Source organism: Homo sapiens, chromosome 1, assembly GCF_000001405.40.
Source record: "Homo sapiens chromosome 1, GRCh38.p14 Primary Assembly".
NCBI lineage: Eukaryota > Metazoa > Chordata > Mammalia > Primates > Hominidae > Homo > Homo sapiens.
Window position 1 is genome coordinate 232,984,491 of NC_000001.11, and position 26,317 is coordinate 233,010,807.

At 48.6% G+C, this 26,317-nt stretch overlaps 1 protein-coding gene across 5 annotated transcripts in view; it reads right to left on the reverse strand.

The window, feature by feature from the left end:
* The window catches only part of PCNX2 (pecanex 2), a 343,895-nt gene that overhangs the window by 1,056 nt on the left and 316,522 nt on the right, over positions 1–26,317 (reverse strand). For all 5 annotated transcript variants that reach the window (XM_047430870.1, NM_014801.4, XM_047430871.1 and 2 more), the window contains 5 exons: positions 17,047–17,191; positions 15,815–16,045; positions 14,615–14,889; positions 13,761–13,948; positions 1,602–2,050 (listed from right to left, as the gene is read on the reverse strand). In XM_047430870.1, the coding sequence (XP_047286826.1) occupies positions 1,602–2,050; positions 13,761–13,948; positions 14,615–14,889; positions 15,815–16,045; positions 17,047–17,191 (1,288 nt within the window). The remainder of the gene's footprint in view (positions 1–1,601; positions 2,051–13,760; positions 13,949–14,614; positions 14,890–15,814; positions 16,046–17,046; positions 17,192–26,317) is intronic.

The following is a 26,317-nucleotide window of genomic DNA, read 5'->3' on the forward strand; positions in this document are numbered from 1 at the left end:
GAGAGAAACAGTGAACAGCTCAGCAAACGTTCACTACCCACTTCTAACTGGCATCACCCCCATCCGTGCTGTGGGAGCTAAAGGCTAGCGCTGCCATATCCTTGAGGTCAGGTTCTAAAGTCAGGTCAAATGATAGAGGGCCAGCACAGTGGCCTCTGAGGACAGGACGGGCAACTGAAGCAGCATCTGAGACACAGGGGCTCTGCACGTGGGCCTTTCTGGATGACTGCGCTGGAAAGAGCGGCCCTGGGGGGAAGGGGCATTTGTGCGCCTGGCTTTCTAGCTGTAGTCAGTGTCACTTCATGCACACTTAGCCCCTGTCATGAATGCTGAGTTCTAGCAGGCTTGACCCCAGTAGAACACAGAGGCCATTGTATTCTGGGGGCATGTGGTCCCTACGACAATTGTCCATTTTGGAGAGCAGGAAGGAGAATTTGACAGAATCCCAGAACTACACCCATAGATTGTGACTTTAACACAGATTGGGGCATGGAGAAGGGTGATACTTTGTACATTTTTATTGAGGAAATAAAGAAAAGGGAGGGGAAATGTATTCTTTTAGTTATCTAACTAAGGTCAAACTCCTGAAGTAACCACCTCTTTCCTCTTGGCCAGGACAGCCTGGGGGTTCCAGGAAAGCCCATAAATCTCCCCTTCCATGAAAGGTGGCACCCATGGCTGCAATCCTGTGGCTCCTTGTAGGGCGGCCGGCCCAGCCTTGGCTTCCCCTGGCAGGAAGGTACTTCCCTGGAGAGCTGTTTCCCATGAAGGAGAGGGAGGGTGACACTAGAAATGTTCAGGTGCAGCCCCCCGTCTCCACCTGCAAATAACCTCACCCAGAACCAGAGGCCAAGCCACTGCAACTCTGGTGCTTGATGGAAAGCATGAGCCATGGTAAGGAAAACCTGAACACTCAAAAGGAGTGGGGGAACTCTCCAAACCTGACCCATTTTTGCCTTGACACCATCGATTTTCCCTGTCTACCAGGTCACATAGGAGCACTGCTGGGTATTTATTTACTTTTTTCTCACTGAAGAAGCTCAAGTATTCATTTCATCTCAGCTGGTTTGGGATTCTGGACAAGTAACAGCTTATTTGGGTGAAGTCCTTAGAACTCTCCTTGTCTAGTATTTAAATACCTAAAAGCAGTGGGCCATCTCAGCAGCTTTAAAGTCAAATCGATTGGCTGAGAAGCAGTGAAGCTCTAACTCCAGCATTGACAGGTGTCCTTTCCTCTCCCTCAGGCCAGAATCATGTGAGAAGAGTCCTGCTGTGTGAATGGGTGGAGGGCATTCTCCGTCATGCCCCGGTGTAGGGCAGATGGCCACAGTTCTGCAGAACCTCTGTATCCGGTGACTCCTTTCAGTGCCTGCCTGGGCATTATCGTTTACAGGATATCTGCTCTGTATCTTGTCTGCTTTCAAGAGCAGCTAAGCCACTTCGTGTCTAATCACTGTCCTTTGTCACTCTGGGAGCCCCATAGAGAAGGGGATGGGGTTCTGCAGGCAGAAGGGTGGGAACGCAAGGCAGGTGCCACGCTCAGGCCAGGAGCCCGTGCCACCATCCCAGCCTGTCCTGGTGAGCCCTGCCCAGCCCCTTACCCGAGTGGCCTGGCTGGCAGCCCTGGCTGAGGGGCCCATCACGATGTTGACGCTGCTGGATGACTGGGTGTCACTGGTATTGCCCCCCTCCGCAGCAGAGAGTCCGGAAATGACGAGCGCGCTGGAAAAGCTCCTCTTGCCGAAGAGGAAGCTCAGGGTGGAGCTGGTGGAGGAGCCCAGGCTGGACCTGATGAGCGCCTCGGCCCGCTCACGGACACTCAGGTGGCCGGTGGTGGTGACGGGCGGGGGCTGAGAGTGCAGGGACGTGGCCGAGGCGTGCAAGGAGAGCCGGCTGCCCGAGAGCCTCTGGGCCAGCTCGTGCACTGAGGTGGACGTCTGGAGGAATGTTTGGCGGCTCTCTAAGATGGGGCCAGATGAGCTCAGCATGGGCGGCCTTTGGCTTAGCGCTGAGTGTGCCTGCACGGACTGGCTCCTGCCTTTCCTCCTGCCTTTAAAAGAAAGCAGAACACAGAGTTGTAGCGGGTGGGTCATGAACATCGATACCTGTGTGGTGCAGCAGGTGGCCTGCTCTGCCTGGGCCCAAGGACCCCTCCTCAGTGCACCACCTGCAAGGCTGGGACAAGAGCTGGAAGCCTGACCACTGCCTCACCCACTCCCTCCCGCCAAGTCCAGGTCCTGAGAACCAAAGGGCCGACTGAAGGGCACCCAAGGGTGGGGGCTGGGGTTGGGGGTACAGTGTGAGAAGCTGCAGCCAGGGTGACAGATCTGCTCAGTTTGCCAGGACATTCCTGGTTCTAGCACTGAAAAGTCCCACATGCCTGGAAGCTGCTTACTTCAGGCGAACCAGGACAATGCCAGCAGCAGAACTTGGGCTCATAAAGTAAACCCAAATATGATCCTGGCTCAGGACCTTGGTTCCCATGCTCATCCGATCAGCAGTGATAAAGGAAAACGTGCAGGGTTCTGTCATTTTTATTTGCCATGAAAAAAGAAGAAAGGGGAGGAGAGCTGAAAGCCCATGCCCTCGCCTCTTTTCCAGAATAGCTTTCCCTTACAGGCCCGCAACTACTGGCCAGGCCTGGGCCTTGCTTCCCATGCTCTTCTCAGCCAGCCCCTTTGCCCACTGCCTCGCCCCTCAGGGGCCCTGCCACCCCAGCCTTTGCTGAAACTTGTCTAGACAAGGCCATTTTTGACAAAAGGGACTGGACTACCCCCAAAGATGTGGTTGTGTCCATGCTGCTGGAAGCAGGATAACTTCATGGGGTCTTCTGTGCGTGATGGCCCTGTGCAGCCTGTGGTTCAGCTTTGCAGTCTAAGCAGTCTGAGGAAATGGGTGCTGGCTAGAACACCGGGTTGCTTAACTTGAGCATCCATGATCACTAGGGGCTAATTGCAAAATATCATTTTGATGGGAGCAGCTAGTGACATCATGGTTCTATGAACGGCATCATGGGCATATCCCTGCAGCTGCTACAATTAGGCATTAAATAAAGACAAACAAGGGGGCGGAGGCATGAGTATCAGAAAGGACGTCCTATGCATTGCCTTGTGTTCCACCTCACCCCAAATGCCCATTATTCATTATGCATCTGGTGATTGTGAAGCGGGCGTGGCTGCCTCCAGGAGAACCCAAGAACTGACACATCATGTGAGAGGCAATTCCTTAGGGATACACATTACGAAGGGGATTCCAGGGTTCCTTCCAGCCCCACCCCACCCCACCGTGGCCTAGGCTGAAGGGGCCTTTCTGCCTCCTGTTGACCACAGTGCCAGTTTGGATGCTGTGATGGTCGAGTGCCCATTTGCAGAGGGCACTGGTGCTCCCATCTCACTTTCTCCTGCCCGTGTGTTGACAGTAAGGAGCGCTCGCCCCACAGTGCTGGGGGCTTCCGCAGGACGGGGCTGCCCTCCCTGGGATGAGTGTGCTCAGCCCCTCGCATGGGGCCCACCCGCCTCTGCTGCAGGAGGGGTGCATTCGGGCCGGCCTGAAAGGTCCCGGCTGAGTAGTTGAATATATTCCTCTTACAGAGAAAAAGGAGAGGAGGAAAGGGACCCTGATGAATCAGAATGAAAAATAAGGAGGGCGATTTGTTAGTTTATTCAGTGTCTGGCAAGGCCGGACGTGTGTTTGTGATTTCTATCGTAAAGCTGATCACTGTCCAAAAATACTCCACATTTATCCACAAGTCAGTGATTGTGATGCTCAATAGAAGACCACCCATACTTGGTGGGGAACTTCCTAGAGAATTCCAGGAACAAGGGGACAAATAACCCACTGTGTGTCAAAGGGAAGTGGCCTGCTGTAGTCTGTGCAAGACAAGGACTCCCCCGCCACCCGATTTCATTGCTTCAGGTTTTCTCATTGCTCTTTTTTTTTTTTAATTAATTTTGCAAATGGAACAGCACTAAGGAAGCAAACCATGCTAAATGCATTTGTGCTACTCAAGATCATTATTTTACAATTTAACTTATTTTGCAAATAACTCTATTACCAAGTTATGAATGTTTCTAGGGAAAACCTTTTTAGAACCTGAATGGAAATACCTTACATATAAATCACCCTCCTTGGTTTATTATCGTGGCACTTAATTCCTTTGTCTTTGATGTTATCTGAACAATCGTGGTGTAGCTCCTTAGTAATATGAGAACACAGCCTCCCTCTCCAATCTGGGATTCGGATTAGTTATGAATTCCTAACTGCTCACCAGTAAGTAGGTCACCAGCCTCCACTGCTAGGCCAACTCCCCTTCCAGCTGTGACATATGCTTTTTACCCCAGCAAGACGTTTGCAGGTTGTCAGGACCTAGATGAGGCTGGCGTAGTGAGCGCCTGGCAGCTGGGTGCAAAGTGCTGTGTGCACCAGCAGCAGCAGATGCACAGCGTGGCTGGCCTGGGGAGAGGAGTTCTGTCTGTGAGGTCTCAGGCAGGAGGGACCCCAGTCCGCTCAGCCTCTAGCAAGGGCTCAGGATTGGGATACCTGACCAGAATTGAGGCAAGGACCAACGAAGGGTGGGGGCAGTTGGGTCCCCAGTTATGTGAGTTGAGTCTTGGTGACTTGGTGAGTAAAACAAGACCCTTGTTAGAATTTGTTTCAAATTCGCCCTTCAAAACTGCTCACTCGGCCGGGCACGGTGGCTCACGCCTGTAATCCCAGCACTTTGGGAGGCCGAGGCAGGCAGATCACGAGGTCAGGAGATCGAGACCATCCTGGCTAACACGGTGAAACCCCATCTCTACTAAAAATACAAAGAATTAGCCAGGCGTGGTGGCGGGCACCTGTAGTCCCAGCTACTCAGGAGGCTGAGGCAGGAGAATGGCGTGAACCCAGGAGGCGGAGCTTGCAGTGAGCCGAGATAGCGCCACTGCCGTCCGGCCTGGGTGAAAGAGTGAGACTCCGTCTCAAAAAAAAAAAAACTGCTCACTCTTTGCTACTTGGCTAAGGGTCTCTGTCATGCCCTTCCCAGAGAGGCAGGTCCTCCACTCTGAGAGGCCCCCAACCACCTCTCCAATGGCACTCAGCACACTGTGTTGTCACTGTCTGATGCACGGTCCTCTCCACTATGTGCCCTTTCTGCAGCAAAGGACCCCTGTATCACTTCTATGAGCTCAGCACCCAGTACACTAACATGTAAGTAAAGGATACACAGGACAAACCTGCAAAACTGACCAGATGCCAAAACGCTGATTAGAAATCCAGTGAGCTTCAGAAAGTTCGGGGTGGGTACAGTGTTTCTTAAACTTGGCCATTAGAAGCATTTCAAAAAATTAATCAATATCTTGACTAGAGGCTGAGACCCATAGGCAAGCGCCTGTAGATGGGCCCAAGGGGCTGCCACTGCAGACTGGAGGGCAAGCTAAAGGTTAGGAAAATAGGAAGGTGATTCCTCCATACTTCCAGGGTCAAGTCCAAAGATCTGGGATCAGGGAATGTTCTCCCCATAGCTGGAGACTGGCCTCTAACGCCCCTGCACTGGCCAAGCAGGTCTCTGGCTTCCTTTCTGGGAGCTGTGTGTCTCAACTCGGACGGGCATGGTTGTTTTACTTAACTAGAAGGAGGGTGAGAAGGAGGCCAGAGACTGAAATCAAATCCAGTTATCCTCACATCCCTGAAGGGAATGATGGCCTGCTGGGAATGGCAGGTAGGTGGTTTCCGCAAAGTGTCCCGGGCAGGGCCAGGCAGAGCCGCCCCTCCCGTTGTGGTAGCCTCCTTCTTGGGCTTGCTCTCCTTGGAACCTGGGCTACCTGCACACTGGGTCTCAGGTGCAGTGTCTTGAGGGGAATGAAAGCTCTGTGCTCCCGGTCGCAGTCAGTGCTAGAGAGCCTTCTGGATAGTTGAATCACATCTTGGAGGGATTCTGGCCGGGGGATTGGGGCACCAAGGTCATGATGGTACATTTCAGGAGAGCCAACAAGATCGGCAGCTCTTGGCTCCACTGCTCTTGGCTGTGACAGAACCTGCCTACAGCTGCAACTCTGAGACCCAAGGGCTTTGCACCCTCGCCCTCTAGGGAAGCTGTAGTGTAAGTGGCTGAGGCCAGGAGGGGTAACCATCCACTCATTCGTCCAACCTTTGTCTGCTGAGCCCAGATCATGCTTACCACCCAGCCCAGCACCTCAGAGGTTTCCCTTGGTGGCCCCTGCAGCCGTCTCTGTCCCCACAGGGCCAGGAAGCTGTGGAGACAGGAGCACGTCAACCAGCTCCCACCCACTCCTGCTTGGCCGTGTGCTGGGTTCCCAGGACTCCAGAACTCCCTGCCCCAAACTGGGGCCTGCACAGGCCTCTTCCCCAGGGTCGTCTCCCAGGGCGGACCTTGGGCCTACTTGCAGGCACGTGCACCCCCAGACGGGCATGTGAATGGGGAGGCTCCAGTGCATGCAGGCAGCCCCTCACCTGGCAGGATGTGGGGAGAGTGGGGAAGAGGGTGGTGTGGTCTTCACATGTGCTCCTGTCACAGGCTCTGCAGAAGTTAGGGCTGCCCACCTGAGCGTCCACCGTGGGCTGCACTGTCCTAGGTGCCGGGCAGTGAGCAGCTCATGGGAAATTCTGACCACAGACAAGGCACATGCATCAGGCAGGGATTGGAGGGGAGGAGAAAGTGGGGCAGGGGGACAGCAGTGCTGTATGGAAGGCTGGCCAGGGTCTCTTGGATAAGCTGGGATTTGATGGGAGGCTGTGTGAGTAAGCGAAGGAGCTGCAAGCCTGGGAGAGGGACACTGGGGACAGAGGAGGCAGCAGCTGAGGGGGCCCTGGAAAGGAGAATGCTTGACACTGTTGAGGGACAGCAAGAGACCGTGTGCTGGGGATGTGGGCTCATAAGAGAGGGCTGAGAGAAGGGAGAGAAGGCGTGAGAGAGAGAGCAGACCAGATGGGGGCCTGCGGGGGAGGGGTGCTCATGGGATGCGCGTGGGTGTTCCGGGCTGAATCATGTTCCCTCCCCAGACTCCTCTGTTGAAGCCCTAACCCCCAGGACCTCAGGGTGGGGCCTTACTTTGACACAGGGTCGTTGCAAATGTCATTAGTTAAGATGAGGTCATACTGGAGTAGGATGGGCCCTGAGTCCATGATGACCAGTGTCCTTATAAAAAGGGGACGTGTGGACACAGAGAAGTACAGGGAGAACATGATGTGAAGACCAAGCCAGAGCTCAGTGGTGCTTCTCGAGGCCGGGGGATGCCTAAGATGGCCGGTGAACCACCACAAGCTAGGGAAGGGTCCTGGACCCCACTCCCCTCCAGCCCTCAGGAGGAACCAAGCCTGCCCACACCTGGATCTCAGACTTCCAGCCTCCAGAACTGGCAGACAGTAGGTTCATGCTGTTTAAGCCACCTGAGCCATGGTACTTTGTCATGGCAGCCCAAGCAGACTCACACATTCTGAGCTGAAGCCATCATTCAACAGAAGAACAACGTGAACTGATTTAAGTTTAAATAAAATCACTCTGACTTGCTTTGTGGAGATTTACGATTTTGTGTGTTGTCGGAGCTGCACGAAAGACCAGGGAGAAAAAGCAAGAGAGATGATAGCAAGAGAGAGGTTTTTCCTTCTTTTAAGTGGGAAAGGGGTAGCAGGCCTTGTTCAATCTCCCCTGTCTTCTTCCAGCTCTCTGACCCTCTGCTGGGGATAAAAGCCTTGGCATAGCTTCCTAGGCTGCAGTGCCTTCTTTCCTCAGCATGTCAGCTCCTTGAGCCAGAAAGGTACTTGAGACAGTCCCTTGCTCTGCTCCTGTCCCTCCCTGACCACAGTGAGAAAGTAAAGGAGCCCCTGCTGGCTGCTTCAGAAAGAACTGGGTGTCAGCTTTGCCTGCTCGTGGGGCCAGAAGGAAGATCACTTATAAGTGGAACCCTTGCCAGCCAGGGGACAGGACAAAGTCATGCTGGGCAGAGACATGCCAGCTGCACAGATGGAGGGCAGGAGGCAAGGGCGGCACACTCAGTGTTCAGTAATGCTTGTTTCCATCAACTCATTCCCAGGGCTGGGGACAAGGACATTCGAAGCAGCATCCCTGGGGCCAGGACAATGGGATGGTGCAAGGTGGCTGAGATCACAAGTTCTGGGGCCAGCTCACCTGGGAATGAATCTCAGACTGGCCACTGCCTGGCTGGGTGACACTGGGCAGTGACTTAAGTTTTCTAGGCCTCTGGTCTCCACCCAAATTTGATCTTGAATTGTAATCCCCATGTGTTGAGGGAGAGACCTGCTGGGAAGTGAATGGATCATGGGGGCATGGTTCCCCCAGGCTGTTCTTGTGATAGTGGGTGAGTTCTCACAAGAGCTGATAGTATTAAAGTGTGGCACCTCCTTGGTCTCACTCTCTCCTGCTGCCATGTAAGACACACCTTGCTTCCCCTTCGCCTTCTGCCATGATTGTAAGTTTCCTGAGGCCTCCCCAGCCATGTGGACCTGTGAGTCATTTAAACCTTTCTTTATAAATTACCCAGTCTCAGGTTGTATCTTTATAGCAGTGTGAAAATGGACTAATATGGAGAATTGGTACCAGCAGAGTGGGGTATTACTATAAAGATACCTGAAAATGTGGAAGCAACTTTGGAACTGGGTAATAGGCAGAGATTGGAACAGTTTGGAGGGCTCAGAAGAAGACAGGCAGATGAGTGAAAGTTTGGAACTTCCTAGAGACTTGCCGAATGGTTTTGACCAAAATGCTGATAGTAATATGGACAATAAAGTCCAGGCTGAGGAGGTCTCAGATGAAGATGAGAAACTTTTTGGGAACTAGAACAAAGATCACTCTTGCTGTGCTTTAACAAAGAGACTGGCGGCATTTTATCCCATCCTAGAGATCTGTGGAACTTCGAACTTGAGAGAGATGATTTAGGGTATCTGTTGGAAGAAATGTCTAAGCAGCAAAGCATTCACAAGGTGACCTGGCTTATTCTGAAAGTGTTCAGTCATATTTGTTCATGAAGAGATGGTTTGGAAGTACAACTTATGTTTAAAAAGGAAGCAGAGTATAAAGGTTTGGAAAATTTGCAGCCTGACGATGGAGTAGAAAAGAAAAGCCCATTTTCTGGGGAGGAATTCAAGCTCGCTGCAGAAATTTGCATAAGTAACAAGGAGCAGAATGTTAGTAGCCAAGACAATGGGGAAAATGTCTCCAGGGCATTTCAGAGATCTTCACGGAAGCCCCTCCCATCACAGGCCTGGAGGCCTAGGAGGGAAAAATGGTTTCATGGGCTGGGCCACGGACCCCACTATTCTGTGCAGCCTCTGGATTTGGTGCCCTGCATCCCAACCACTCCAACTCCAATGTGGCTAAAAGGGGCCAAAGTACAGCTTGGGCCATTGCTTCAGAGGGTGCAAACTCCAAGCCTTTGCTGCTTCCATGTGGTGTTGGGCCTAAGAGTGTGCAGAAGACAAGAGTGGAACTTTGGGAACCTCTGCTTAGATTTCAGAGGAGGTATGGAAATGCCTGATGTTCAGGCAAAAGTCTGCTGCAGGGGCGGAGTTCTCATGGAGAACCTCTGCTAGGGCAGTGCAGAAGGGAAATGTGGGGTTGGAGCCCCCAGAGTCCCACTGGGGTACTGCCTAGTGGAGCTATGAGAAGAGGGCCACCATCCTCCAGATCCCAGAAAGGTAGATACACTAACAGCTTGCACTGTGCACCTGGAAAAGCTGCAAACACTCAACACCAGCCCATGAAAACAGCTGCAGGGACTGTACCCATGCAGAGCTGCCCAAGGCATTGGAAGCCCACCTCTTGCACCAGTGTGACCTGGACATGAGACATGGCATTGAAGGAGATTTTGGAGCTTTAAGATTTAATGACTGACCAGCTGGGTGTTGGACTTGCATGGGGCCTGTGGCCCCTTTGTTTTGGCTAATTCCTTCCATTTGGAATGGGGACATTTACCCAATGCTTGTTCCCCCATTGTATCTTTGAAGTAACTAACTTGTTTTTGATTTTACAGGCTCATAGGTGGAAGGGTCTTGTCTTGTCTCAGATGAGACTTTGGATTTGGACTTTTGAGTTAATGTTGGAATGAGTTAAGACTTTGGGGGATGGTTGGGAAGCATGATTGGTTTTGAAATGTGAAAGGGCATGAGATTTAGGAGGGACTAGGGGCATAATAATATGGTTGAGCTCTGTATCCCCACCCAAAAAAAATCCCCATGTGTTGAGGGAGGGACCTGGTGGGAGGTGATTGGATCATGGGGGTGGTTTCCCCCAGGCTGTTTTTGTGATAGTGAGTGAGTTCTCATGAGAGCTGGTGGTTTTAAAGTGTGGCACTTCCTCACTCTTGCTCTCTCCTGCCACCATGTAAGATGTGTCTTTCTTCCCCTTCACGTTCCACCATAATTGTAAGTTTCTTGAGGTCCCCCCAGCCATGCAGAACTGTGAGTCAATTAAACCTCCTTCCTTTGTAAATTACACAGTCTCAGGTAGTACCTTTGTAGCAGTGTGAAAACAGACTAATACATTCAGTTTCTTTATCTGCAAGATGAGGAGGGTGAAACTGCCTGCATCTCTAAAAGCCATGGTGAGGATCCAGTGAATGTGCACATGAAAGTACTCAGGATGGTGTTGGTAGAGTAGAACCTGAGAACTGTTACTGTTATCAAATTTTATCACCTGCAGCAAGGATGCTGTGAATACACCGGGGGGCAGAGAAAGAGCAGGGTGGCAGCAAGGCAGGTGAGTTCAAAGCAGCTGATGCTTGGCCCAGGGCTTCATAAATCTCCCCAACCCTCCATCCCCCTAAGCAGGACAACAACTGGTCTCAGAGCCTGGGACAAACTCAGGCTGCAGGTGTGGCCAAGGCATGTGGTGTGTGGGGTATTTAGCCAGGCATGCTCCTTTGCTTGTAAAATGTAGAAAGCCAGCGGTGGCCTTGGCAGGAAGTTTTAAGAAGCATTCATGAGAAATTAACAGCTGGTTTAGGCTTTAGTAGATCCTGCTCCAGAGTAAGCGTGTCATTTAAATATGTGGAGGTAGATGCCCCAAAAATACAAAGCAGCTGCAAGAGTTGGAAGCAGTAACCTCTGAGAATTAGGAATGTTGCTGGGGGGTGAAGGGGGGAAACCCATGATTTTTGTTTTAATCCAGGCAGTCCTTTTTGAGTTTTAAACTATGCTGATTGTATAGTTTGATTATTAAATTTTAACTTAAAAATCCAATTTAAAAAAAAAGATCCTGCTCTGACATCTTCCACAAACGGGAAGCTGTGATTGCTCCTGTAAATGCAAGGAATGCTCACTGCCTATGGTGTTCGGACTCCAGGGAGTGGAAGGAACACCAGCTCTTCCAGGCAAGGCCAGTTCCAGGTGCTGTTTTATAGGAAGAAAGGGAAGAAGGTGTTTCCAATTTCTTCCCCCTCCTCTCCCCCCACCCAGGCTGGAGTGCTGTGGCGTGATCTCGGCTCACTGCTACCTCCGCCTCCTGGGTTCAAGGGATTCTCCTGCCTCAGCCTCCCAAGTAACTGGGATTACAAGCACCCACCACCACACCTGGCTAATTTTTTGTTGTATTTTTAGTAGAGATGGGGTTTCACCATGTTGGCCAGGCTGGTCTTGAACTCCTGACCTCAAGTGATCCTCCCACCTCAGCCTCCCAAAGTGCTGGGATTATAGGTGTGCACCACAGCACCCGGCCTCCAATTTCTTTTCTGCCAAGCTTCAAGAAACCAGGTCTGAAGCACTTCTGGAACCCCCACCTCTGACCCCTGTCTCTGACCCTGCCCACCCCGCAGCCACACCCCCCTGACTCTGGACTTTCTCCAGTCCACACAAGTCACCTGGAAGTACTGGCAAATGACAGATGCTTAGGCATTTCACCATTTGGAAGCTACTTTGCATTTCCCCACCTGGAAAGTCACTCCCATGATCCTGAAACACATTTTTCATGTGATAAGAAATGTTAACTAAACAATGAGATACTGGAGGCCTGGGAGCTGCATGGGAGGCCTCCAGCAGGTGTCCTGCAGGGCCTCAGAGTAAACAGCATGGGGTGGGTGGGGCAGGGGGAGATCTTTTTTCCTTTCTTTTGAGCAGCGGATACCACCTATTTTGTCTATTTACCTATCTATCTACCTACCTAGCTTTCTTTCTGTCCTCTATCAATCAGTCCCTATCTACCTATCTAGCATCTGTGGAAGGAAAATAAAATCTCCCCAAACTCATATGCCAAAGGAAAAAGTCAAGCCTGGGAACTGAGACATGCAAAACTGTCTCCCTCCCAATTTGCTTGCAGAGAAATTCCTTGTGGGCCCCAAGATCTTTACTCTAAAACAGTTCTGTTAAATTTCACCCTGACAATGTAAATGAACAGCTTACCTTTACAAATGCGGGACAAAGATAGGACTAGGAGTCCTCCATCTGCTCACCTGAGACAAAGGCACACATGACTCCTTCTTCAACTCTATGTTTACTTTATGTAAAAATGCAGATCTGCGGAGCTGGACATGAATGTACAATTGACTGTTTCTCTACCTACGCTTTTTACATGTAAAATGTGGATTCAGTGAAGGTTGATGAAAGCCTCAAAGGCTGGTCACAGTGGTTGCAAAATACCCCTTTTCCTTATCCCCTGCCCCGCCTTTTTCCCCTATTGCCCATTCTTTCCCCTTTAAATAATGAAGTCCCCAAACCCTCTTTGGAAAAAGTAGCCACAGTTGGGTCTGTCGCTTGTGTCCTTTTTTCCTGGGCACCTCTTTAACCTTGGCAAAATAAACCTCTAAATTAATTGACAGCTGTCTCAGATACTTTTTGATTTATACATATATCCTCTCTTTCTCTCTCTCATATCTTGCTCATGTTTGCATACATCCTACTGTCTCTGTTCAATCCTCTGCCTTGCTCTGGGCACTCCCAGGAGGCAGGGACTGTAACTCCTGGCTCATTTGGTGCAGAGCTAGCAGGAGAAGCATGCACAGAGGCACTTATTAAACGCTTCTGGATGGTGAGGAAGAACTGAGGCCAAAAAGTAAAACCACTAACATGCTCCAGAGGGTAAAGCCAAGGACCAGCAGGAACCAGGGCAGAGCATCCATCTCTTTCATGTTCCCAGGACACTCATCCTCTGGATCTCCTTTTCTAGTCCAACCACCTCCTCCCCAGTGCAGACCACCAGTGGAGTTTTGGAACTTCATCCATCTGGTGGAGTATAACTATTTGGGTGTTAGTTTAAACATAATTTTAAACTTTAGACTCAGCCAGGCTTGGTTGCAGCCACCTCCTAGGTTCCTATCTGTGGGCACCCTTTCTGCCCTCTTTTCTTCTGCTCTGAAATGTCAAGTCTAAGTGGAGGAAGGTGAGAATCAGTGAGAAGCAGGAGAGGGAAGGCAGGAGGCCTGTTTGTGTGCCCCACGGACACTTGGAGAAGAGGGAGACAGTACATGGGCCAATAGCTACAACACAGCCAGACACAGAAGGCACACCATCAAACGGTCATAGAGTGAGAGACGGAAAGATGGAATGGAATGCAGCGACCCCTGGACAGGTGGACAGACAGATGAATGGCTGGCCAAGGTCATGGACAGATGGATAAATGGTAAAAGCTGAATCTAACAGATGGAGAATTGTTTTCCTGAGCAGAACCTACAAGAGTCTGCAAATTTCCGGCATCTATTGTCCCAATGCAAGAAGGTGCTCTCAGAGGTTTAAACAACATCATAACTCAGGGCATTGGTCACTGGGACCAAATAGGACTTCATCGATAGTTTGGAGGCCCCTGCTGCACCCACCTGTTCTCTGTGTCCCTTCACAGGATGACACCCCGTGCTGAGCACCGCCTTTTCTGGGCTGTTCTGCGCTGCTCTCCTGGCTGCCACCACTCGGGGCATTGTTGCCACCTGTCGTCGGGGCCCCTCCTCCGTCCACGTCTTCAATGTTGCCGCCACTGTGCTGGCGGGCATTGCAATCCTTCCGCATCCTGTGGGAGGGAGAAGTCCTTTGAGGATTCTCAGCAACACACTTCCAATCCCCCTAAATGCACCACCATGGCCTTGCCTAAATCGGGATCGAAGAGCGTGCTCTCCAGGTGAGTAGCCCACCTGGCATGCTGGTGGGAAGAGGGGCTGTTGTTCCCAAACCTCAGCATCTAATAAATGAACAGACTGCACCAGGATGAATGGGCTTCCGTCTCAACCTTCCATAAGAACCCTTAGCACTGAGGCTTGATAGGGAGCTCTGTCGTCTTCAGGCAAAACTTCTTAGAATTCATCCCAACTGATTACTACATCCAGGTAAGAAGACTTATTGGATGAGAAATGTGTGCTGGGGATGTTCTTCCAGTTCTTGCTAACAGATGTGGAATGGTTACTGCTAAAGACTCATAACCTTGGCAGCTCTGCAAGAACTCAGCCTGTGCAAATGTGGGGGAAAGAGATTCTCATCCATATGAGATTTTCCATGGATTCATAATCTGAGACTGCTTGCTGAAACAAATGATCTGTTCGATGCCACTTGGGGGTAGCAGTTTTAATCATATGAGAAAATGGTGGCTGACAGTGAAATCTGAACCAGGAGTACAGAGCTCCCTGCATCCCCCACACCTTCCCCCAGCATCTGGACAGAGGCATTTGTTGTAAAAACTTACCTTACCCACTTGGTCCAGAACCAGGTCCTAATTCTGTCCAAAGTGATGGGTCCACCCCAGATGTTCTTCAGCTGCCTGTGTGTCCCTAGGTAGGATGTGGTTAGTGGGGAGACATACATGGGGTACCCCAGGGGCTGATCGCAGGAGGAGTTAATCAAGTTCCGCAGGACCTGCTTATTGTTCTGGATACTGCCGCGCTCCGGATTGCGGTTGCGAAGAAATATAAGCTCCTGCTGCTGCCCGGCCCAAAGTCCTCGGACGCATTCTTTGTTAACCTGCAGGTCAGAGAGGGAACGGGAAGAAAGGCAGAAGGCCTGTGTTTTCCAGTCTATTGGTTTTTTCTTTTTCTTTTTTTTTTTTTTTTTTGAGATAGAGTTTCGCTCTTGTTGCCCAGGCTGGAGTGCAATGGTGCAATCTCAGCTCACTGCAACCTCCGCCTCCCGGATTCAAGCAATTCTCTTGCCTCAGCCTCCCGAGTAGCTGGAATTACAGGCATGTGCCAACACACCTGGCTAATTTTGTATTTTTTAGTAGAGACGGGGTTTCTCCGTGTTGGTCAGGCTGGTCTCGAACTCTTGACCTCAGGTGATCCACACGCCTCGGCCAATCTATTGGTTTTTAACTACAATGAGAGAGCAGGGCTCTGGGACTGAATATCTGTGACTACAAAACTTTGGTGTAAAGCTCTTTTCACAGTTAAGCCAGAAGAGCCATCCTGCAAGACGGATATGATGCCATCTTCATGGGGAAACTGAGAGAGAATGCAGAGAAAGTAGTTTTTGTTTTCACTTAGTGATTTGAAGCTATATGAAAAGAGGAGCCATTGGGAATAAGGCCTTCGGATCCAGGAATGGTTTATGAGAGAAAGGTGTGGGTTCTAGAGAATAAAAAGTCTTTACAAATAAGCTATATCCTGACTCTCACTTACATGTGTGTCTACTGGGTCTTCTTGGCAAAGTCTGTGTCTGTGTGCTGGCTCTGTGAGGTGGAGGGTGATCCTGCCAGGGGAACACAGCACCCAGCCTGGCACCATGCCCTGCCCCACTTGCCAGCCAGCGCTCCTTCCAGAACATCCCTCTGAACAGAGGATGCTGGCACAGAGACTCCTGTGTCAGTGCCCCCCTGCCCACCACCATTCTATTTCTTCTCAGATAGAGAGACACGAGCCAACAGGGGACCCAGAAAGTGTGGCCGCCATACCTTGATCACCTTGAAGCTCAGGAAGCTTCTGTGGAGCATGATGACCTTGTACTCGTCGGCACCCTCGTCCACCACGTGCCGCAGGGTGAGCAGCTCTTCCTTGTTGGACAGCACTGCGCCCCGCCAGGCCGGGTCGCCCTCGTGGCAGATGACCACCTTCTTCTCGAAGGACTGGATGGCCTCGTAGAGGACTGCTGGGTCTTCATACTCGTCAGGGCAAGTGAACTGGTCCTGGTGGGAAGAAGTGTGGGTGTGGGCTGGGCAAGGACCAGAGGAACTCACCCCCAGGAAGCATGCAGATGGCAACTGGCCAGTGACCTCCAAAGCTAAGCTCTTTCCTCATCTTCCTCTCTCCTGTTCTTTTTCCAAATCCTGAGCTCGGCACAGAGGACACCTCTTTATCTCATTGCCCTAACCAATGGAATGTGCCTAGAAAAGAGCTTCATGGCTTAGGTTCCTCTGACCTTTAGATATAGTTTTAGATATAGGTTGGGCACTTTTGCTAAGTCATTGTCTCTGCACAATACCCATCTTTCTTCTAGTGGAATATCACCACCTCCTAGCCTAGCTGCTCTTGAGGGCAAATCACCATTGGCTAAAGTCAAGACTATCTGGACGGCTTCAATGCTTAGTTACCTAAGTAATAAACCCACTTACAGTGCTGTGCAGAGAAAGGAGACCATATTTTTAAAGGCCATTTTTTCCCCTAAAGTTTCAGGCTGATCCTTTTTCTTTTTTTTTCCCCAAGAGACAGGGTCTTGCACTGTCACCCAGGCTGGAGTGCAGTGGCGCAATCATAGATCACTGCAGCCTGAAACTCCCGGGCTCAAGCTATCCTCCCACCTTAACCTCCCGAGTAGCTGAGCGATAGTTTTTTCTAAAAAAATAGGTTTGGCCAGGTGCAGTGGCTCACGCCTGTAATCCCAGCACTTTGGGAGGCTAAGGCGGGCAGATCACTTAAGGTCGGGAGTTCGAGATCAGCCTGACCAACATGGAGAAACCCCATTTCTACTACAAATACAAAATTAGCTGGGCATGGTGGCACATGCCTGTAATCCCAGCTACTTGGGAGGCTGTGGCAGGAGAATCGCTTGAACCCGGGAGGTGGAGGTTGTGGTGAGCCGAGATTGTGCCATTGCACCCCAGCCTGGGCAACAAGAGCGAAACTCCATCTCATAAATAAATAAATAAATAAATAAATAAATAAATAAATAAATAAAATAGGTTTTTACCTGGTGAAGTTTCAGGGACATCCTGATAGCTGGAGCTACAACTTTATGCAGTAGGTCCATGTCAGCAAATACCCACTCGTCACGTGCTGTTATTCTGAAGTCACCTTTGAAGAGGACATGGAGGCCATACAGGAAAGAATCCAGGCTGCAAAACAAAGTCCTATTACTATGGAACAAATTTCAGAATCCTGTCATTGTGAGCAAAGTTTGAGTCTCCCATTTGTCTAAGAATTATCTTAACATTTAGGCTGATATAGCAAGAAAATGAAGATAACAGGACTCATCCCAGTGCACCTAGTGCCTACCCCTACAGCCCATGTTTGGGCCCTCATAAGTGCTAGTGTCATGGCGTGGGCGTTGTCTTCAGTCATTTTAGGAGCCACCAAAGTACTTAATCACTGGATGTGACACTAGGATTCCAGGTCAGAACTGGCCTCACGTGTCCACTCAAAGTTAGAGTGCTAAAACACAGTTTCATCTACCCCAATGAAACCCCAGAGACGACCAGCTCCCCAGAGACGATGATGCTAACCGTGGAGTAATGCAGGAGACTTTCTTCTTCTTCTTTGCATTTCTATGTATCATTCTGGGGCTATGTCATTGGATTCAACCACAATATGGAGAGAGGAAATAAAACTAAATTAAATGTCAAATGGGTCATTTAGGTTCTCAGAGAACATGCATTTCCCAATCCCACCATTTTTTTTAATGATGAGAGGAAGAGGCGGAAGAGTGAGGCTTAAGAGGAAAGATTAAGCAACTTCAACAAAGTCTCAGGATACAAAATCAATGTGCAAAAATCACAAGCATTCATATACACCAATAATAGACAAACAGAGAGCCAAATAATGAGTGAACTCCCATTCACAATTGCTACAAAGAGAATAAAATACCTAGGAATACAACTTACAAGGGATGTGAAGGGCCTCTTCAAGGAGAACTACAAACCACTGCTTAAGGAAATAAGAGAGGACACAAACAAATGGAAAAACATTCCATGCTCATGGATAGGAGAATCAATATTGTGAAAATGGCCATACTGCCCGAAGTAATTTATAGATTCAATGCTATCCCCATCAAGCTACCACTGACTTTCTTCACAGAATTAGAAAAAAATATTTTAATTTCATATGGAACCAGAAAAGAGACTGTATAGCCAATACAATCCTAAGCAAAAAGAACAAAGCTGGAGGCATCACGCTACCTGACTTCAAACTATACTACAAGGCTACAGTAACCAAAACAGCATGGTACTGGTACCAAAACAGATACATAGACCAATGGAACAGAACAGAGGCCTCAGAAATAATGCCACACATTTACAACCATCTGATCTTTGACAAACCTGACAAAAACAAGCAATGGGGAAAGGATTCCCTATTTAATAAATGGTATTGGGAAAACTGGCTAGCCATACGCAGAAAACTGAAACTGGACCCCTTCCTTACACCTTATACAAAAATTAATTCAAGATGGATTAAAGACTTAAATGTTAGACCTAAAACCATAAAAATCTTAGAAGAAAACCTAGGCAATACCATTCAGGACATAGGCATGGGCAAAGACTTCATGACTAAAACAGCAAAAGCAATGGCAACAAAACCCAAAATTGACAAATGGGATCTAATTAAACCAAAGAGCTTCTGCACAGCAAAAGAAACTACCATCAGAGTGAACAGGCAACCTACAGAATGGGAGAAAATTTTTGCAATCTGTCTATCTGACAAAGGGCTAATATCCAGAATCTACAAGGAACTTAAACAAATTTATAAGAAAAAAACAACCCCATCAAAAAGTGAGCAAAGGATATGAACAGATACTTCTCAAAAGAAGACATTTATGCGGCCAACAAACATATGAAAAACAGCTCATCATCACTGGTCATCAGAGAAATGCAAATCAAAACCACAATTAGATACCATCTCACACCAGTTAGAATGGCAATCATTAAAAAGTCAGGAAACAACAGATGCTGGAGAGGATATGGAGAAATACAGACGCTTTTACACTGTTAGTGGGAGTGTAAATTAGTTCAACCATTGTGGAAGACAGTGTGGCGATTCCTCAAGGATCTAGAACCAGAAATACCATTTGACCCAGCAATCCCATTACTGGGTATATACCCAAAGGATTATAAATCATTCCACTATAAAGACACATGCACACGTATGTTTACTGCAGCGCTATTCACAACAGCAAAGACTTGGAACCAACCCAAATGCCCATCAATGATAGACTGGATAAAGAAAATGTGGCATATATACACCATGGAATACTATGAAGCCATAAAAAAGGATGAGTTCATGTCCTTTGCAGGGACATGGATGAAGCTGGAAACCATCATTCTCAACAAAGTAACACAAGAACAGAAAACCAAACACTGCATGTTCTCACTCGTAAGTGGGACCTGAACAACGAGAACACATGAACACAGGGAGGGGAACATCACACACCGGGGCCTGTTGGAGGGTGAGGGGGCTAGAGGAGGGATAGCATTAGGAGAAATAACTAATGTAGATGACGGATTGATGGGTGCAGCAAACCACCATGGTACGTGTATACCTGCACGTTCTGCACATGTATCCCAGAACTTAAAGTATAATTAAAAAAAAAAAGAATTCAATTCCATTGTCTTTCATATTTGGCCAACACTCGATTATATAAAAATTATAGTTCCACACACTTATGTATTTTTTTAAAAAAGAGGGATCTTTCAAGATTATCCGGGTGTTCAGGTTCCTAGGTTTTTCCTGCCGTGCTTCCATTTCCCACACATCACTGAGTGTTGCCAGGATGGAGAACAGGGGTATCACCCAAGGGAAATCTCTCAGAGCCTGGGGCCTTTAAATTTTGGATGAACCTGGGGAGTAGGTTTGGGAAAGCAACTCATCCTACATTCCTAGGAGAGGAAGAACAGTTTCTCCTTTTTTTTTTTTGCTTTGTTTTCTTTCTATAAATATTCTCTATCACGGCCACCTCTTACAACCCTGGTCTCTCACATCCCCAAGAGGTAGTTACGAGGCAAGTACAAGAAACAGCGTCCCTGACAGGGCCGGCCTGGGACAGGATGAACAGGGCATGTGTGTGAAGGGAGTCTCTGAGGACGGCTGCTCCTAAGGATTTAATGAGTTGGCTCACTGAGCAAGGCTTCTGATTCAACACAGCGCATTAGACCTGCACATCAGGGAAATAGTTCCACTGATTGCTATTTTAGCATTTCAACGTGAAATGTACCACTATCATTAATATCTAGGACTCCCTTGAGAAAGAGGCCGCTGAGGCTTCAAGGCTTCAGAGCAGACTGCGGGAAACAGGAACAGCCAGGGGCTGGTCAGGTGGGGTTCGGGGTGCTGTGGCCTAGAGGAGCCTGGAATCTTCCAGAAAAGGATCCAAGAAGCTATCAAAAGCTTTCTGGGGCCGTGAGCTTTAGCAACTGCCTAGGAGGCACCAAGAAGGCTGTTTTACAACAGCAGAGTCAGGCTGCAGGTAGGCTGATGCCGAGAGTGGAGGCTTCGAAACATGAATAATGACCGCTACCTGCTCTCAAAAGAAAACATTTGGAAATGCTCACAGCATCAGATAGGAGCTAAGTGCTAAAATGAGAGAGCTAACTCCTGAAAAATGGGTGGGATTTATTCAGGAAAGGATTCGGAGGGTCATGATACTTGCTCAGAATGGCCTGGCATATGCATAAGAGAAAAAGCTTTCTCCAGATGTAGAGATGGGGATAGTGGAAAAGGAAGATTAACACCCAGACACCCAGAGCAACATCCACAGACAAAAGAGAAGAGCCAGGAATCGCAGGCATCAGCCTAGTGTTTGCCCAGCTGCGTGTGCCCGGCAGCCGTCAAGTGCTCACTCAGCAGCAGGAGAAAGGCAGCCTCCACAGGAGCCTCTCTAAGAGGCTTGAGTTCCATCAAAGGCCACCAACAATGGATATTTTCCCTGTCATTTCTATTTTCAGAGAAAATGAGACATTGTGGTGCTTCATGCTATTCCATTATTGAAATGATTCTCAATGTAGAAAACAAACTCTGAGTTAGAATTCCACTAGATCAGGGAAATTATCCACAGCACCTTAGAGATCAAGGCATCCTAAAAGGAAGGTGTTTCATTACCTGGCTTTTTTCCCCCTGAGAGAATGAAGAGGGGAAGGTGGTGAGCTGTGACAAGCCAAGCGGGGGTGGCGGGCAGCAGAGGTCCGCAGGACACCTGCAGTGCATTTCTGTTTTGGAGCTTCACAGGGCTATGTCTTTTCAAAGCTCTATGGAGAAATGACAGGCTCCCACCCTCAGGCCAACAGCTGGAGCTGGGCTTTTATTACTGGGAAATAGTGTTGCATCTGAGTCATTGAAGGTTGGCCTTCCTGGGGACTAAAACAGCCCCCACTCGCACGCCTGTGGAGGATGTCAGTGAAGCAGGTCATCTTATCATAGTCGGTCAGCTGGGAAGTCAGTGGCGTGGGATTCCACAGGGGCAGAGAGGGCAGGCAGGGCCCTGAAAAAACTCGGCACATGTGTAATCATGTGTTAGGGGAGCAGGTCCACACATAGAAGACCAAAGACTATGGCAATGAGATAACCAGGCACCAGCTTCCATGGCACCATGGAAGTGCTAAATACTGTCATAAATAAAAACAGCATTAGAAAAATGTCACGCTTTCAGATGACGATGAGGAGCTAACACTTGAGGACATTTCCTTTTTAACTGGAAAAAGCTGGAGTGTACTGCGTAGGCTGTAACTGCGCTACTCGGCACAGAATGAACCCATCACTTGCTGTCCTTCTGGTTCCTCACCCACTTCATATGACATAGCTGGTGGCTGTGCATGTAGAGGGGAGGCTGGGGCCTCAGTGCAAAGCACAATTGTTTACAACCTTCCTGGAAATGGCTGTTCTCTGGCTGGAGGCTGGGGCCATTTCCACGATGCCCAGGACAGCCCCCACCACAAAGAACCATACAGCTCAAAATGTCTACAGTGCTGCTGCTGAGAAACCCTGCTTTTTCAGAGAGACAGAGTAGCAGTGGAGGAGAAGGGCTCCAAGTATTGGACAATGGGGTCCTTATCTTAAGTCTTAATGAACCTTGGGATGCAGAGAGAAACAGCTCTAATGTGGGGATAGTTTCTGCAGGACTCACAGGGGGATCTCCAGCACAATGACTGATTTGTTTAGTTAATTTCCAAACAGGCCTGTACATACTATGTTATTTACAGATTAGCATTGTGAAGCGCCTTCTGCTGCCACGCACTGCCATAAATGGAACGCTTGTAGAACATATGTAAACAATTAAGTGTGATTTGCAGGCTGGGTGTCCCATGTTTACTGATTAGTAACAGAAATACTCAGAGTGTGTGTGCCCATCTACCTTAGTCACTGTCCCAGGCTCAGATAGCATCTCCACCTTGGGTACTGCAGCAAGCTCTCTTCATGTGTGCCTTATTCCTCTCTGTGGAACCCAGCAACCATACACTGGTTTCGCAGTCAATCCCATGCTCCTGACCACACTCTCCTGCTGCAATTCCCCAAACAAAAACAATGATCCAAAGGCATGTACAGTCGCACATGCCTGTAGTCTCAGCGACGTGGAAGGCTGATGTGGGGAGTTCAAGGATGTAGTGCATTCTGACAGCACCTGCGAGTAGCCATTGTACTCCAGCTTGGCAACTAGATGACTAGCACCATCTCTGAGCAACTAAAAGTGAAACAGAAGGAGACACCTTCCATTTGTATGGTGACTTGTGGGTCACTAAGCGCTTTCCATTCCATAGGCTCCTCTCATTCTCACGGATGCATGATGTAATTATTACAACCCTTTCATATGAGAAGAAACAGGCCAGAAAAAGTGGAGAAAGAGAGTAAGATGGGTGGGAGCAAATACTCAGAATCTGATGTCACACTGAAGAAGCACAGGAGAAAACCCACAGCTGCTTCCAGGCCACCTACCTCTCTAGCAAACATGGAGTTGCTTTTATAATGTGTAACTGGAGTCATCTTCTTCTTTTTTTATTTATTTTTTTGAGACGGAGTCTCTCTCTGTTGCCCAGGCTGGAGTGCCGTGGCGTGATCTCAACTCACTGCAACCTCCACCTCCCAGGTTCAAATGATTCTCGCACCTCAGCCTCCCGAGTAGCTGGGATTACAGGCACCTGCCACCATGCCCGGCTAATTTTTTTGTATTTTTAGTAGAGACGGGGTTTCACCATGTTGGCCAGGCTAGTCTTGAAATCCTGACCTCAAGAGATCCACCCACCTCAGCCTCCCTGAGCAGTTGGGATTACAGGCACCTGCCACCATGCCCGGCTATTTTTTTTTGTATTTTTAGTAGAGACAGGGTTTCACCACATTGGCCAGGCTAGTCTCGAACTCCTGACCTCAAGAGATCCACCCACCTCAGCCTCCCAAAGTGCTGAGATTACAGGCGTGAGCCACCGTGCCCAGCCCTGAGTCATCTTCTTAAAGGCCTTCTCAGCTGTGTGAGAATGAACTCATCCCTTTAAAGGCTTCAGTTGAGCCACAATACTGAAAGCACTGTGAGTATAATTCTTGAACTCACCCCCATCTCACCCTCCTAATTGGTATGTATACCCTGCACAGACCCTGAATTGAGAGTGTATTAATACTGCTTTCATGAACTCTTTATCCAAGAAGTTACTCCATTGGCTCTAAAATCAAGACAACCTTTGGTTGGGATCCCAGCTCTCTCCTACCTGGTAAAGAACATTCAGAAAGAACACTCGGTAAAGAACACGTGATGTCCCCCAAATAGCTCCAAGGTGCTTCACTTCCTCTAGAGTTCGGGTGCTACACTGAGAAGCGGCATATGGACCTACAGGGTTGGAGGGATGGGAGCCAGGAGCTCCAAACTGAAGCTTAAATCTTGGTTCTGATACTTGTCTCTTGCCCTCATTGTCATCAATTTCTTTCTGTGTTCACTCATAAGATCAATTACTGCCAGGCATATTTAGAGGCTTGGTGAGGGTCTTGCTAGGAATTTCTTTCCATGGGGGACCCAGTGCACAAGTGGGGTCTGCAGACAATGGGTGCCTGTTGGTGAGGGGGTGGGACAATTCCAAATACACCCCAGTGTCCAGTGTTCACCTTGTCCTATGGGATCAAAGCCTGTGTCTTCAATGACACAGTGGATGTGTCCAAGTAAGCTGGGCACGGAGGGTGCACAGTGGCAGCAACTCCTATCGGAAAAGCACTGGGCTGGCAGGAAAGGGCAAGATGCCATCCCAGGGTTGAAGCATCCCTGAGGTCAGGCCACCCAGAGCATCAGAGCCATGATGCCTGTAGCAGGTGCTGTCAGCAGCTCTCAGCATCACAACCTAGCACAGGACAGGTCCACAAGGAAGCGTGCATAGGTGAGAAGGTGGATGCCCTGGAGCAGCTGGGCCACCCCAGGGAAGTGTCCATGCAGAGCTGGGGGGAGTGTGGTGCGTTCCTGCACAGCAGATGGAGATTAACTGCTGGGAGATGTTGTGGACAGCGGGACAGTGTGGCCAGTAGGAGCAAGGACTCTGGAGTCTGGGCATGACTCTATGGTGAGACTCGCACAAATCACTTCTCTGTGTTTCAGAAATCCCAGCTGCAAAATCGAGCCAATAATACCTATCTCATCATCTCTCATGCCTTCAGAGAAGACGAAATGCATTAACTCTCCTAACTTGCATTAGCACTCTGCCCAGTACCTAGTGGGCACCGCTGTAAGTGTTCACTGATACTGTTATTGTTATTTTCACCCCTGAACTAGTATATTTCAGCAATTAATATCCAGGCCACCTTGGCTTCAGATATAAACTAAGCACATTTGAATTGCAGAATCTCATATAATCACTGGAAATAAATTATGTTGGCTAAAGGATTTCAGTGATATTGGTGATATTGCTTCAAATAAATCATAAGTGTGAAATAATAATTAACAAAATAGAAATAACTAAAATGCAAAATTTAATTAAAAATATATTTGTAAAGTAGTTTGACCTCATGATGTTTTAACAGCAATAGTTCTCTGCTCGGAGGCTCCACATCAAGCGGATCAACTACTATTGTCTGGTGCAAAATCCTTCATAAGCCCGGCCTGATGACCAGGGTTGGGCTGGCTGTAGAAGAATTAATCACTCAGCAGCTTGTTGAAAATCACAGATTTCCAAATCCAAGATCTAGAGAGTCCATGTCACTGGTTTGCGATGGAGCTTGGGGTCTGTATTCTGATCAAGCTCCCTCTGTGATTCTGAGGTTTGGACTCATGGGACCAGAGAACCTGGGGTCTCCTAAAGATGGCAAGACATTTCAGAGAAGCAGGGAGCTGGAACCTGGAGGAGAGCCCATACGCCAGGCCCAGGTGGGAGGGGCTTTGCCACACTGCATTAGAATTTAAGGTCCCAGAAACTTCTGCTCCTTTGTAGGCTATCATTTTTTCCCCCTATGCTTTAGACTTACATATTTTTCTCATGTTCCAAGATTGTGATTTTAGCTTGATAACATGATTTTAATCTCCTAGGTCAGATATTGCATCCTGTTTACTTTATCAGATTCTGATTTCTGAGTTTCCTTAGTCTGGCAAGTGGACCTTAATTTCCCTTTACAAGATGACCCACTGTGACATGACAGCTGGCCCCCGTGGGGGCCTCATCTCCAGTGGAAGCTCAGGAGGAGAAGTTGAGATGATGTCTTGGATTTCTGAAGAGAATATTTCCTCAACACGCTGTGGGTGGGAGGAGTGGGTAGATGGTAGATGGAGTGACCTCAGACCACAACAGTGACCTCCTGCAACAAGGCAGCATGCCACAGCTTGGCAGAGCACACTTCAGTCTGGCTTGTCTCCCTATCACTTTTCAAGATCAAATTTGCTTTAAATTTTCTATCCTCTTGGAAGCTTACTCTACTCTGAGTCAGTAAATTTTCTTTTACAAACAAACCTGTTGCTTCTATAAAATGCAGCCATCTTCTCCTAACCTCGAAGGATGGAACATCAGCTAGAATCCACCTCATCACCTTTCATGTATTTGAAGACAGTAATCAAACCATCTCATACTCTGTGGTCAGTGAAACTATTTTGACTTCCTACTAAAACATCCCATTATATCTAGATGGCTTTCTTCAGTGGGAGACACAGTTTTCCAAGAAGGTATGTCCCAAACCTTAAATCTAAAAAATATAAGTGTCTTCTTGTCACATCCATATGAACCCATTCCATCTCCATAACATATCAACATTTTATTTAAAGACAATTTATATAAAGGTAGTCTTTTGCTCACTTACATTTG